Below are 12,460 nucleotides of genomic sequence, written 5' to 3' on the forward strand. Positions count from 1 at the left end.
GCAAACTTCTTCTTTCTGTGAGCTTTAATGGTCAATCACAGGGAAAAAAACTCATTTAACACCCAGTATCATGCTGTTACAATTTATTTCTTATCTAACACTTGTATATTCTTTAAGACATTATAAACTCTTCTGAGGAAACCACCATGTACTAAAAATTGGGCACACTATGTAACATATAACTCTCATTCATAATAACTATGAGGAATGTAGCATTGTCTCCATTTTACAGAGTCGGTATTGGGGGAAGTCTGACTCCCTAAATCATGTTAATTTTAGAAAACAAAATTCCTTGAAGATTTGTGTTTACATTTTGATCCTCCTCTGCACTAGCAAAGTTACACGGGAGCATACAGCTGTTAAGAAGTAATGATCATGAGCTGGGCATGGTGGCTCACGCCTGTAATCCCAGCACTTTGGGAGGCTGAGGCAGGCAGATTGCTTGAGCCCAGGAGTTCAAGACCAGCCTGGGCAACATCATGCAATCTGTCTCTATAAAAAATAAAAAAAAAAATTAGCCAGGAGTGGTGGCATGTGCCTGTAGTCCTAGCTACTCAGGAGGCTGAGGTGGGAGGATAGATTGAGCCCTGCAGGTTGAGACTACAGTGAGCCATGAAGCTGTGATTGCACCACTACACCACTGCACTCCAGCCTGGGTGACAGCAAGATCCTGTCTCCCGCTCCGTGCCACTGCCCCCCCCCCCCAAAAAAAAAGAATGAAAGAAAAGAGAAAAAGAAAGAAAGAGTGATCACGGAGAAGGGCCACTTGGTGGAGCAGTTGGAACATACACAGCCTTTACAGATTAAATTCACTGTCTCATATTGGTGCAGTTTATGGTGCCCCAAAACAATTAGAATAGAAACATCAAAGATTGGGCTGGGCGTGGTGGCACATGCCTGTAATCCCAGCACTTTGGGAGGCCGAGGCGGGTGGATCATCTGAGGTCTGGAGTTCAAGACCAGGCTGACCAACATGGAGAAACTGTCTCTACTAAAAATACAAAATTAGCCAGGCGTGGTGTCACACGCCTGTAATCCTTGCTACTCGGGAGGCTGAGGCAGGAGAATTGCTTGAACCCAGGAGGCAGAGGTTGCGATGAGCCGAGATTGCACCATTGCACTCCAGCCTGGGCAACAAGAGTGAAACTCCGTCTCAAAAAAAAAAAAAAAAAGAAACATCAAAGATCACCAATCACTAGTCACTATAACATATAATACTAAAGTTTGAAATATCATGAGAATTACCAAAATATGAGAGACACAAAGTCAGTATATGCTATTGAAAAAATGGTGCCAAAGGACTTGCTTTATGCAAGGTTGCCATAAACCTTCAATTTGTAAAAAATGCAAAATCTGTGAAATGCAATACAAGGAGGAACTGCCTGTATTTTATTATTTTACTTTCTGATGTGTTTTATATAAGGAGCTTAAAACACTTTGAGCTCTCCTTTGACCATGTAACATTTTGCTTTTCCTGTTTACAAAATCTGAAGTCTTTTTTTCTCTTCAAGATGTATAAAATGTGCATACTGAAATCTAACAAAGCGATTCTTCAGCTAAAAAGAAATGTGTAATCAAGGAAGGAACACACACACACACACAAGGAGCCCAGGAGGTCTGAACTGCAGATTATTTTTGTTGTGCATAATTATGAATGTATATACATATATATGTGCATGTGTATATATACATATATACATCCATAATTATGCACAAGAATAATCTGAATACAGTTTCCTCTCACACATAGTGTAATATTGGTAATAAAGCCGACTAGGTAACTATGAGATCTGGCCCTTTTGATGCCCAATCTCCTCTTTCAAACTGCTTCCCCATACTCTGCTCTCTGCTCACATGTCAAGCATCTCTCATTATCTAAGACCTTCACCCACAGTAACAGGAGTATTAGTTTTTCACAGTCATTTTGCCATGTGACACTGATAACAAAGAATTTTCCATGCTAACAATTCTCTCTGCTAACACAAGTATAAACAGATATATTTTGCTCTTTATGTATTAAGGAGGTGATCTGAAAATATCAGCAGTCACATGCATTCTCATTACAGTATTTTCTGTTAGTGATGATATCTTAGATCTTTCCTGGTAGGTGTATGGCAGATGAGTGTCCGGGTTAAGGGAGGGGGAAAACTCTGTCAAGGCAGTAGCTGCCAGCGAGAAGTGGAGAGGAGAGAGGAAAAGGAGGGGGACAGATGAGAGTACAAAGGATGAAGGGGAGGAAGAGAGAGGGAGCAAAGAAGAGAAAGACAAAGAAAATTAGAAGTTCTAGATCATGAGAAACTCGAGTACATGAACATTCCTGCTAATGCTTTTCCCCTGTTCCAAGGCCCTAACAGGCCTCACATCCTTAAATATAATTTGTGATATTTCTCCTGGGCCCACTGCAAGGATTTTCAACTAGACTGTGGACATTTAAGCACTCGTAATTCTTATTATTGGATTAAGTTATTCATTATGGAACATTTATCATTTATGAATGATAAACTCAGAGGTGCTAATTTAAACTATAACATGTTCAGAAAAACTTTAAATATCAAAATGTACTCCAACGCTAAAACCCCTTAGATGGCACATGTCTCATAGGGGTCCTGAAGTCAGTAGATACATTTTTCTAGGATCACTGCAATTTTGGTGAATGCACTCCTAAACAAGATATGTAGAGTGTTTTCTGTGGTTTTCATAGACTGCATGTTAACAAGAACAAAAATGCTGACAGCTTAAAATCATTTCCTATAGACTCACATAGTCTTAGATGAAACGTAAATATCAGAAGAAAATAACAAAAATAAAAATCAAGAAAATGTTTTGTCCAAATAACTCCTCATAATATTATAGGAAAAGTATTTCCTCTGAGAGTTTTTGGCAAGAGAGGGTATCACCACTTTATCTGGTTTCCCTAATAAAATTGTAGGAATAATTTCCCTACCATAAAATTCAAATTTCTTTAAAAATATGTTGTTTCAACAAAGTTGAAGGCAAAAATACTAATACATTTTTAGAAATCCATTCATATTTAGCATGGAAGATGATCTCAGAATCTTTTTCTTAGCTCTTTTCTCATGCTGTTGTTGTTTCCATATGGCTTCATTGAAACAGAATCCACAAGCTACACAACTCACCTATTTAAAGTGTATAATTCAAGGGTTTTTAGTATAATCAGAGTTGTGCAGCCATCACCACAATCAATTTTTGTCACCCCCAAAATAAGCCCTATACCCATTAGCAGTTACTTTCCATTCCTTCCCCACTGTAGCCCATAAGCCTTTGGCAAGCACTAATCTACTTTGTCTCTATAGATGTGCTTTTTTTTTTTTTTTTTCTTAAAGACAGGGTCTCACTTTGATGCCCAGGCTGGAGTGCAGTGGTGCAATCATGGCTCACTTCAGCCTCGACCTCCTGGGCTCAGGTGATCCTCCGACCTCAGTCATGTGCCACCATACCTGGCTAATATTTGTTATTTTTGTGGTAGAAGTGGGGTTTTGCCATGCTGCCCAGGCTGGTCTCTAATGATCTGCCCTCCTCAGCCTCCCCAAGTGCTAGGATTATAGGCATGAGCCACCATGCCCAGCGAGATCTGCCTTTTCATATAAATGGAATCCTACCATCTGTAGCCTATTATGACTGGCTTCTTTCACTTAGCATAATGTTTTCAAGGTTTATCCATGTTGTAGCATCATTTATTGCTATACAATATTCCACTGTATGGATAAGCCACATTTTATTTATTCATTGGTCAGTTGATGGCTGTTTGGTTTGTTTATACTTTTTGGTTACTATAAACATGTGTGTACAGGTTTTTATTACTCTTGGATATATACCTAGGTGAGGAATTACTGGGTTATATGGTAACTGTTAACCTTTTGAAAAACTGCCAGACTCTTACAAAGCAGCTTTCCGTGCTGGCTGCAATCTCAGTTATTTCTCCTCACACCTGATTCCAGCTGGGTTCCTGAGGCACCACTAATGAACTTCCTATTATATCAACCTACGTAGGGGTATGCTTTATGCTTATATTGCCTTGTGCCTCCACTAAGATATCTTCATCCTTCTCTTTTTCCTCTAAGTAGGTGTATATTTGTAGATAAAGGAAAAACACTGAATGCTTATTTACTACTTAGTAAAAGACTTCAGAAGAATAGTTTTTTGAGAGTTCTTCATTTCATAAATTTCAGTGACTGTATTAATTTTGTAGGCCAAACTACATGTTCTTTGTGAAAAACATAGATGGCAGATATGAGAACAATATTTATCCTAATGTCAAGAATATGTTTAATCTTCTTCAATATTCACCTGATATCATTTTTTCCTGCACTATGAGATAGATTCATATTGGATATTTTGGCAAGCATTAAAAGTGAATCTCAAACACTTAAAAAAAAGTCAGTTGCAGAAGTGGAAAAAATTTAAATGGCTTAAAAATGTAATATGTTACAGATTTTTTTTTTCTCCTGTTTGGAGTAAAAAAATTGTAGACTGGGTGCATGGAAAATACTGAAGTCAGAAAATAGAGCTTCAGGATTGAAAGTACATTTACTTTTATCTTCCCTCCCTGGTACCACAGAAACTTCTTCCAAATTTATTTTCATTAATATACATTTTTGAGGAGTTGCTAAACTATTTTAAAGTGAAAAAAAATTCCCCCATTTAAAAAGCACTTGTAACTTATCTATTAAACCCCTATGTGGATTAAAATATCAGTAATTCTCATCCATAGATTCTGATGTAAAAATCTAGAATAAAGTCTCAATGTGCACAGTATAATCATACATTAAAAGAATTTTCCACCACAGAATCAGGCCTCTTCTGAGTACAAGTAACAGAAAATCTGACCTAAACTGACTTAGGGAAAAAGAAAACTTAATGACTCCCATTATCCAAAATTCTAAGAACAGCTGGTTTTAAGAATTGCTTGGTAGGACTAGATTATATTATCAAGGTTCATTTTCTCAGTCTCTTAGTGCCATCCTTTGTTGGCTCCCTATTTTGAGAAGTTCTCACCTTACTGTAGTGACAAATGGGGTTTTGTTTATATCCCTTTATTCTTACATCCAGTGGTAAGCCTTTGTCCCAGAAATCACTGCAAATTCTCACTGTGAATCACTGTTTCTAAATGGGTCAAGTGCCCATTTATGAACCAGTCACTGTGACCAGGGATTCTGCTTTCGCAAAGTACTGACTGGTTTAGCCTTAATAATGTTCTCTATACATGGTACCAAGGACAGAGTCAGTAACACACAAATATATTGGCTTAGAAAGAAATTATGGTATACTTCCAAAATAAGGGGAATGGGTATACTTCCAAGATAAAAGGGAAGGGATGCTGATCCCCATGATATAGGAAACATGCACTAAAATGCCATTGCAACACAAGAAAAAAAAAATTAAAAAGCAGAAATTAAATCAATAAGAAAATTTTGATAAGATTCAATACTTAATCTTTAAACAAATTTAAAAAGCATTATTGAGGCGTTGATGTGCAAAATGGAATGCTTAAGGTATACTTTTTAATAAAATTTAACTTGTGTATATATACACTCACGAACTACCACAATTAAGATAATGAAGATATCTCTTTACCTAAAATGTTTCTCTGCCCATTTATAATCTTTCAAATCCCTCCCGCTCAGGTAATCACTGATCTGTTTTCTATGTGTTTGCACTTTCTAGAACTTTGAGTTGAAGCATACAGTATGTACTCTGGCTTCTTTCACTCAGCATAATTACTTTGCAATTCATCTATGTTGGGTATATTGATACTTTTTATTGCTGAGTAATAATCCATTGCATGGACATAGCACAATGTATTTAGCCCTTCATCTGTAGATGGATATTTGACTTGTTCTGAGGTTTGATTATTATGAATGCTGTTGCTCTGTTCAAATCTTTGAATAGACATATACTTTCATTTTTCTTAGGTAAAAGAATGGGTAAGTGGAATAGCTGGGTCACATGGAAGATCCATGTTTAACATTTTAGAAAACCACTAAACTCTTTTCAAAGGCGATTCTACCATTTTACATTCCAAACAGCAGTGTTTGAGAGCTCCATTTGTTTCATACCTTTGCCAGCATCTGGAATGGTCAGTCTTCAATTAAAGGATTTCAATAGCTATGTAGTGATACCGCATTGTGCTTTCAATCTGCTCATTCCTAGTGACCAATAACGTTGAGTGCCTTTTCACATGCTTACTTGCCATTCATCTTGTATGATGTATCTGTTCAAAATTTTGGCCCAATAAAAAATTTACATATTTGATTATTTTATTATTGAGTTCTGAGGGTTCTTTATACATTCTGGACACTAGTGCTTTATTAAATAGTGATTTGTAAATGTTTTCTCCAAATCTGTGGCTTTTCATTGTCACAACACTGCCTAAGAACGTAATTTCTTAATTTTGATGAAGTATGATTTGTCACTTTTCTTGTTTGGTGTCATATGCAAGAAATCTTTGCCTAACCCAGCCTTACAAAATTTTTCCTTTATGTTATCTGCTAGAAGTTGCACAGTTTCAGGTTTTACATTTAGGTCCATGATCCATTTTAAGTAAATTCTGATATAAGGCTGTGTTAGTTTCCTATGGCCGCTGTAATGAATTTACCACAAATTCGGTGGTAATGCATTCTGTCACAGATCTGAGGCCAGAAGACCAAAATCAAGGTGTCAGCAGGGCCATTCCCCCTCCAGAGGCTCTGAGGGAGAATCTATTCCTTGCTTCTTCCAGCTTCTGGTGGCTGCCAGCATGCTCTAGCACTCCTCGGCTTGTGGCCTTTTAAACACCATCTTCACATAAGCTTCTCCTCTTTGTGTTTGTAATTGCACTCTGCCTCTCTCTTGTAAGGGACACTGCAATTAGATTTAGGGTCCACCCCAGATAATCCAGGATAATTTTTCCATGTAAAGATCCTCATTGTAATCACTTCTGCAAAGACTCTTTATCTTCATAAGGTTATATTTTCATGTTCCAGGGATTGGAACCTGATATCTTCAGGTGGCCACTATTTAGGCTACTACAAAGGCAAAAATGAATACCCAATTGTTTTTGCGCCACTTGTTAAAAATATATCTTTTCTCCATCAAATTATCTCTGCATTTTGAATTGCCTCTTCATTGAAATATCTCTGACTAAAATCAACTGACCATATGTGTCTGAGTCTCCATCTGGACTCTTTATTCTGATCTATGGATCTATTTGTTGAAATTGGTGCCAATACCACATTTTCTTGATTACTGTAGCTTTACTGACCATCTTTATTTTCTTTTCTGTGAATTAACTGTTCATATCTTTTGTCTGCTTTCCTTTTGTATAACTTGTTTGCTTTTTTATTAAATGATAGTTCTTATGTTCTAGATTTTAACATTCATACATTACGCATAAGTCACATATCTTTCCTCAGTCTGTTGCTTTATCTTATACCAAAAGTAGGTCATAAAGAAATTTTACATTTTGTAATGATCAAATTCATCAATCCTTTCGCTTATATTTTTGCCTTCTGGATCTTAAGAAGCCTTCTCAACCTTGAGAATATAGATATTTTCTTCTTGTAAGTATAGGACGATTAAATGTGTGTCTATTTTGTTTACTAATGCAATGATGCTACTCTTTTTACTGCTTCATGATGTATCTTGATATCTAGTTGGGTACCTTTTACCTTGGCTCTTTTTGTGCATTTATTCTTTCTTACCAATTCTAGAAGGCCTTACTTCTCTTTGCTTTATTACTTCTATACTTCCATCATTGGGCTTTTGTTTTTTACCACTCAACTATTATTACTTGTTCAGTAAGACACACTTACTACTAAGAAGTAATTAGAATATTCTTCCAGTAATAATCAGTGATAAGTATCAGTTTTGCCTTCTTATATGACTTGCCACACATAAACTTACCATCTGTTCTTTTCTATAGTTAATAACACAAAATATTAGAAATTCCTGTGTAATGATGGTTTAACTTGTTCTGTACAGTCATTTCCCTTTTATGTAGAAATTTGATGAGTATACTTTATTTAAGAGTATTTTTTTTAACATTGTTAACCATTCCTAATTTCTTGACACTCTGATTCTTTTTTCTAACTCTTCCCATTGGCAACTCCTCTACCTGACTCTTGTGGGTAGTCCCCAAGGTTCTAGCCCTGGTCAGACTTCCTTAGCAGGAAAGCAACCACTCTATGCCACCCTCTCCTCTTTTTTTCCCTAAAAAGAAATTTTATCTGAAAATCATTAAAATGTAGATTGTCTCTTTATCCTTAGTAATATATTATCCTTAATACTGAAAAAATCATGCTAAGGTACATAGTTGATGCTTAAATGTGTTAAAAGAGTGAATATTGTTAATGACTCTTAATATGCAAAACACATAAAATACTACTTTATTACTATCATAAATATTTTATAAATTCCTATTTAAAACATGATAAAAATCAACAAAAATACAAGGTACTATATTCTTAGCACTTGTAGTATATATCTCAATGTTCTAAGTATATGTACCTTAGAACATTGTTTAAATGTTTATGGAATCCCTGAAGCATTTCAGGAAAATAGCTTGAAATCACGGCTCTAGACCTATTCATCTTTTAACGTAGGTCAACATGCGACAATATTTAGGATTAATTATCCTGAGAGCTTTCAATTCAACATTAATCATGCAAAAAAATCACATGCACAAAGAATATTGATTACTAAAATTGGCAATATATACATAGTCATGGTTAATTAAGCACCACATTTTTATTATACATTTTTCTTATGTTCCCTAAGAGGATATTATCTTTGGGGAAAATTTTAGAGAAAATTTAGATCTACTTTCCCATCATAAAGATTTTTAATAATTCACTATTTAAATGGTCTTTTGTTTCATGAAGTTTTACAACAATACTAAAAAGTTCTGGAAATATCACTGTTTTGGTTTTTGGTTACTATACAGTTTTCCATCTCTATGATCTCGTGATGTTTGGTATCTAGTCTCTCTTTCCTAATACGAATAGAGTACTATTAGGACTCCAATTGTCAATACCAGTCCTCAGGACCTTTCCTAACTTTCTACCTAGCACCTCAATACTCTCTAGGAAACTGCAATCTGACAAAGGGTTTAGAACATGTATGCAATCCTCATCTTTTTTCCTCCTCTCTGTCATTCATTCGTTCATTAAAATTTAGTTGAGTCAAATACTTGCCCAGACAGGCAAAAGATATGTTAGGAACAAAGCTTTTCTATCTTATATTTCTTATCTTAATCTTCTGCCTCTTAAATGAAGGTCTTAACTTCCTTATTAAAATATAAAATCCAACTTGAGGTTTATATAAGATACATATCTTGAAATGGTATAAAAAGTAATAAAAATTTCCAGGTACATACATACTAAAACAAACCTGGAAAGGTAAGTTTGAAAAAACAAAATTTGTGGCAAGAAACTATAACATATAAACAGGATTATTTTGTTGAAGTTGTTAGAAAAATAAAGAGAGCCACAAGGATAAATTATAATTTGTCCTTGTGTGGTAAGATTGTTCCATCAATGGCCCCCAATGAGTCATACCATCCGCTGTCAGCTTGTGTAGTCCCCTCATTCTGACTCTAGACTTGGCCATGTGATTTGCTTTGTCCAATGGAACATTAGTAAATATGATAGATGTACAGGATCGATAAGCTCTTGCATATTGGAGCTTGCTCTCTTAAGATGTTTTCTCTACTATGGAAAGAAGATTCGTCTAGTCTACTGGAGGCTGAGAGGCCCTGTACAGCAGAGACAGCCAACTCACTGAATCGTGAAAAATAATAAAAGTCCTTGTTTTAAACCACTGAGTTTTGGTGTGGTTTGTTATGCAGTGATGGATAATGTGAAATCTTATCTCTCTTTGTCTATGTCTGTGGCAGAGCAACTGGCTAAAAGTTACATAAAGCTATACTTAATTTGAAAATAATAATAAAGGTCTCTCAGTAAACTTAAAAAATATTAGACCTGCTGTTCTCTAGCATTTCCTCCTCCATGTAGACTCAGTTATTCAATCCACTTAAATACATATGTACAATACTCAACATTTAACTATTATCCTGTACATCTTATAGGTACAGCCTGTAGCAACTAATCAACGAACAGAGTACACAATAAATATTTTTATTTTTAAACACTGAATTGTACATCTTTCATATAAAACATGAGATTCTAGCCTGTTTTAAAAAATAAGTATACTTGCTAGTACTATCTTCACTCTTTTTTTTTTTCAGAAGCCAATGTTCTCTAAATCTGCAGCTTCATTCCACAGCTTTACAGAATCATAATCTCTTGAATATATTTCCAATGTTATTAAAAAATAAAAAATCATACAAGATATATTTAGCACATTAAAACTTAAGAGGTTACAGTATAACTGTCCAGACCTCCAGGTACCACTGAATACTTTTCCAGTACAAAGAGGCCAATATGTTAGAATAATTAATTCTCTGTATTTACTTTTATTAAAAAGAGGTTTTTGGTAGTAAGAACAAATAATCTCTCATTTGTTGCCTGAAATCCTAAAATAGGATCATTGGTTTCTAGGCTTGCTACTTGCTGCTTAGCAACCTGTCCTACTTGCCTGCCTTCCTTTCTGTTGTAAAGTACAGTGGACATGGGAGCAGGCTGACGATAGATGAATACTCGACGAAGGCACTCACAAAGGGCTGCATACGAGTAATTTGGAGCACAGGCAAAAAATTTTTTGTCTCTCTTTGATGCTTGGACATAGCCTGCCAAGAATATGAGACAAACAAAAGAAAAACTATATATTAAACAGAAGGGGAAAAATGATGATTTAACATTTAATATTTTGCAATGTTTATTACAAATTAAAATGCCCAAGTAAAATATATACCATAAGGTATATAATTCTGAATCATTAACGATTAGCCACAATCAGTCTCTCCCATCTGGTACAAAAATACGACTTTAATTCCTAAGGAACAAAACAGATATGGCTTTCTCGCTTCAAAAAAAGCGTAATATAGCTTCATTTAATTTCCACGAATAATTCGAACACTAAAATTCTAAAATCTAAAACACTCAATACATGACAAAATATCTTTAAGTGCCAATTTAATATTTAGCTTCGTGAGTTACGGATAGGGCATCACAGAACCATTTTTTTCCTCTTAAATAAATTGGAAAATGTGTATAGGATACCATCATAAAGTTATTTTAGTTTTCTGTTCATAATGTATCCCTGAATGTACTAGTATTCGTGATGCATTCTCTTATTATCCCTAAAATGTTAGTGATATTTTTATACATCAATACCAACACTGTAACTGGATTTTTTTGTACTTTTAGCCCCCACAAGTAGAATGTTGATCACTATAACTTCAAAAATAATTTCAAGTCTCTAAACTGAAAAAAATCCTTATCTTAATTCATGTACATGTTTAAAAAGTATCTTTTTGGATTAAAACAACATTTATATTCCAAAATATAAATTATGATTTTTAGATAGTGACATGGTTAGCAAATGTTAGGTATTTATGATCATGTAAAATAAGAATATAACATTAATTAAAATTGAGATCTCATCAAACAATGAATAAGCAAAGGAACTACTGAGCACATGCAGATCAATACTGTTTTTAAAAATATTAAGCAGGTTTGAAGCAGGAAAAGTGAAGATTTAGATACCTATTTAAATAGTTTAAAGTAGCTATCCAGGCTAACCTTGACAGAATAATGTATATAATATTTCAAGAGTACATATCTAATATATGTTGATTTAACTTAGAATTAAGCATAGAATTCCCCTATAATAGGGGATTTGGGGATACAAATAGAACATCTGAGCATCTAAAGATGATATGATAGAGCTTTCTTCTGACCAAAGTATAGATAATTAAAAAATAGCATTATAGTAGGGAGGCTAAAAATTATATGGTTAAATTAGTTAACCAAACTTTGTACTTCAGGTCATAAAAATCCATTTGGAGTCTGAACCAGTTTAGCAGCCTACATTATTAACTATAAGGGATAATTAATAAATTTCTTCTACAATTAGGGTTGTGCACATATAGCCATCAAAATACGTAACTTCACTTCTTGCTGCCTGTTTAAAATAACCTTTCAATAAAGCAACAACTGTGGCTAATTCACATAAAAAATTTCTGTCACACAATACTAATGCATTTTGACAGAAAATCAATGATTGCATACGTCTATAATTAAGTAGTTTAAACATTGTCAAGCCCTAATTTTAAAACTGATTTTTTTCCTTTTATCCTACCAAATAAATTTAATTTCTGCTTATCACCGCTTTCCATAAGTATTTTCATTATAATGGCTCTCTTTTGTACTTAATTTTGACAAAAGATGTCTCCTAATGTGCATTACACCTTAGGGGAATTCTATGATGTTTCTGAAGATTACTCTGAAGAAACTTGAACACCAGTTCCATGTAGGGTATTATCAAGCTCCTTGCTCAGACT

The 12,460-nt window shown here is 34.6% G+C and overlaps 1 protein-coding gene across 3 annotated transcripts in view; it reads right to left on the reverse strand.

Moving 5' to 3' along the window:
• Positions 1-8,361: 8,361 nt before the first annotated feature.
• Positions 8,362-12,460, reverse strand: part of NUDCD1 (NudC domain containing 1) — a 93,169-nt gene continuing 89,070 nt past the window's right edge. For all 3 annotated transcript variants that reach the window (NM_032869.4, NM_001128211.2, XM_047422330.1), the window contains exon 10: positions 8,362-10,744. In NM_032869.4, the coding sequence (NP_116258.2) occupies positions 10,452-10,744 (293 nt within the window). In that variant the 3' untranslated portion in view covers positions 8,362-10,451. The remainder of the gene's footprint in view (positions 10,745-12,460) is intronic.

This window comes from Homo sapiens, chromosome 8 (assembly GCF_000001405.40).
Source record: "Homo sapiens chromosome 8, GRCh38.p14 Primary Assembly".
In the NCBI taxonomy this organism is placed as follows: Eukaryota; Metazoa; Chordata; class Mammalia; order Primates; family Hominidae; genus Homo; species Homo sapiens.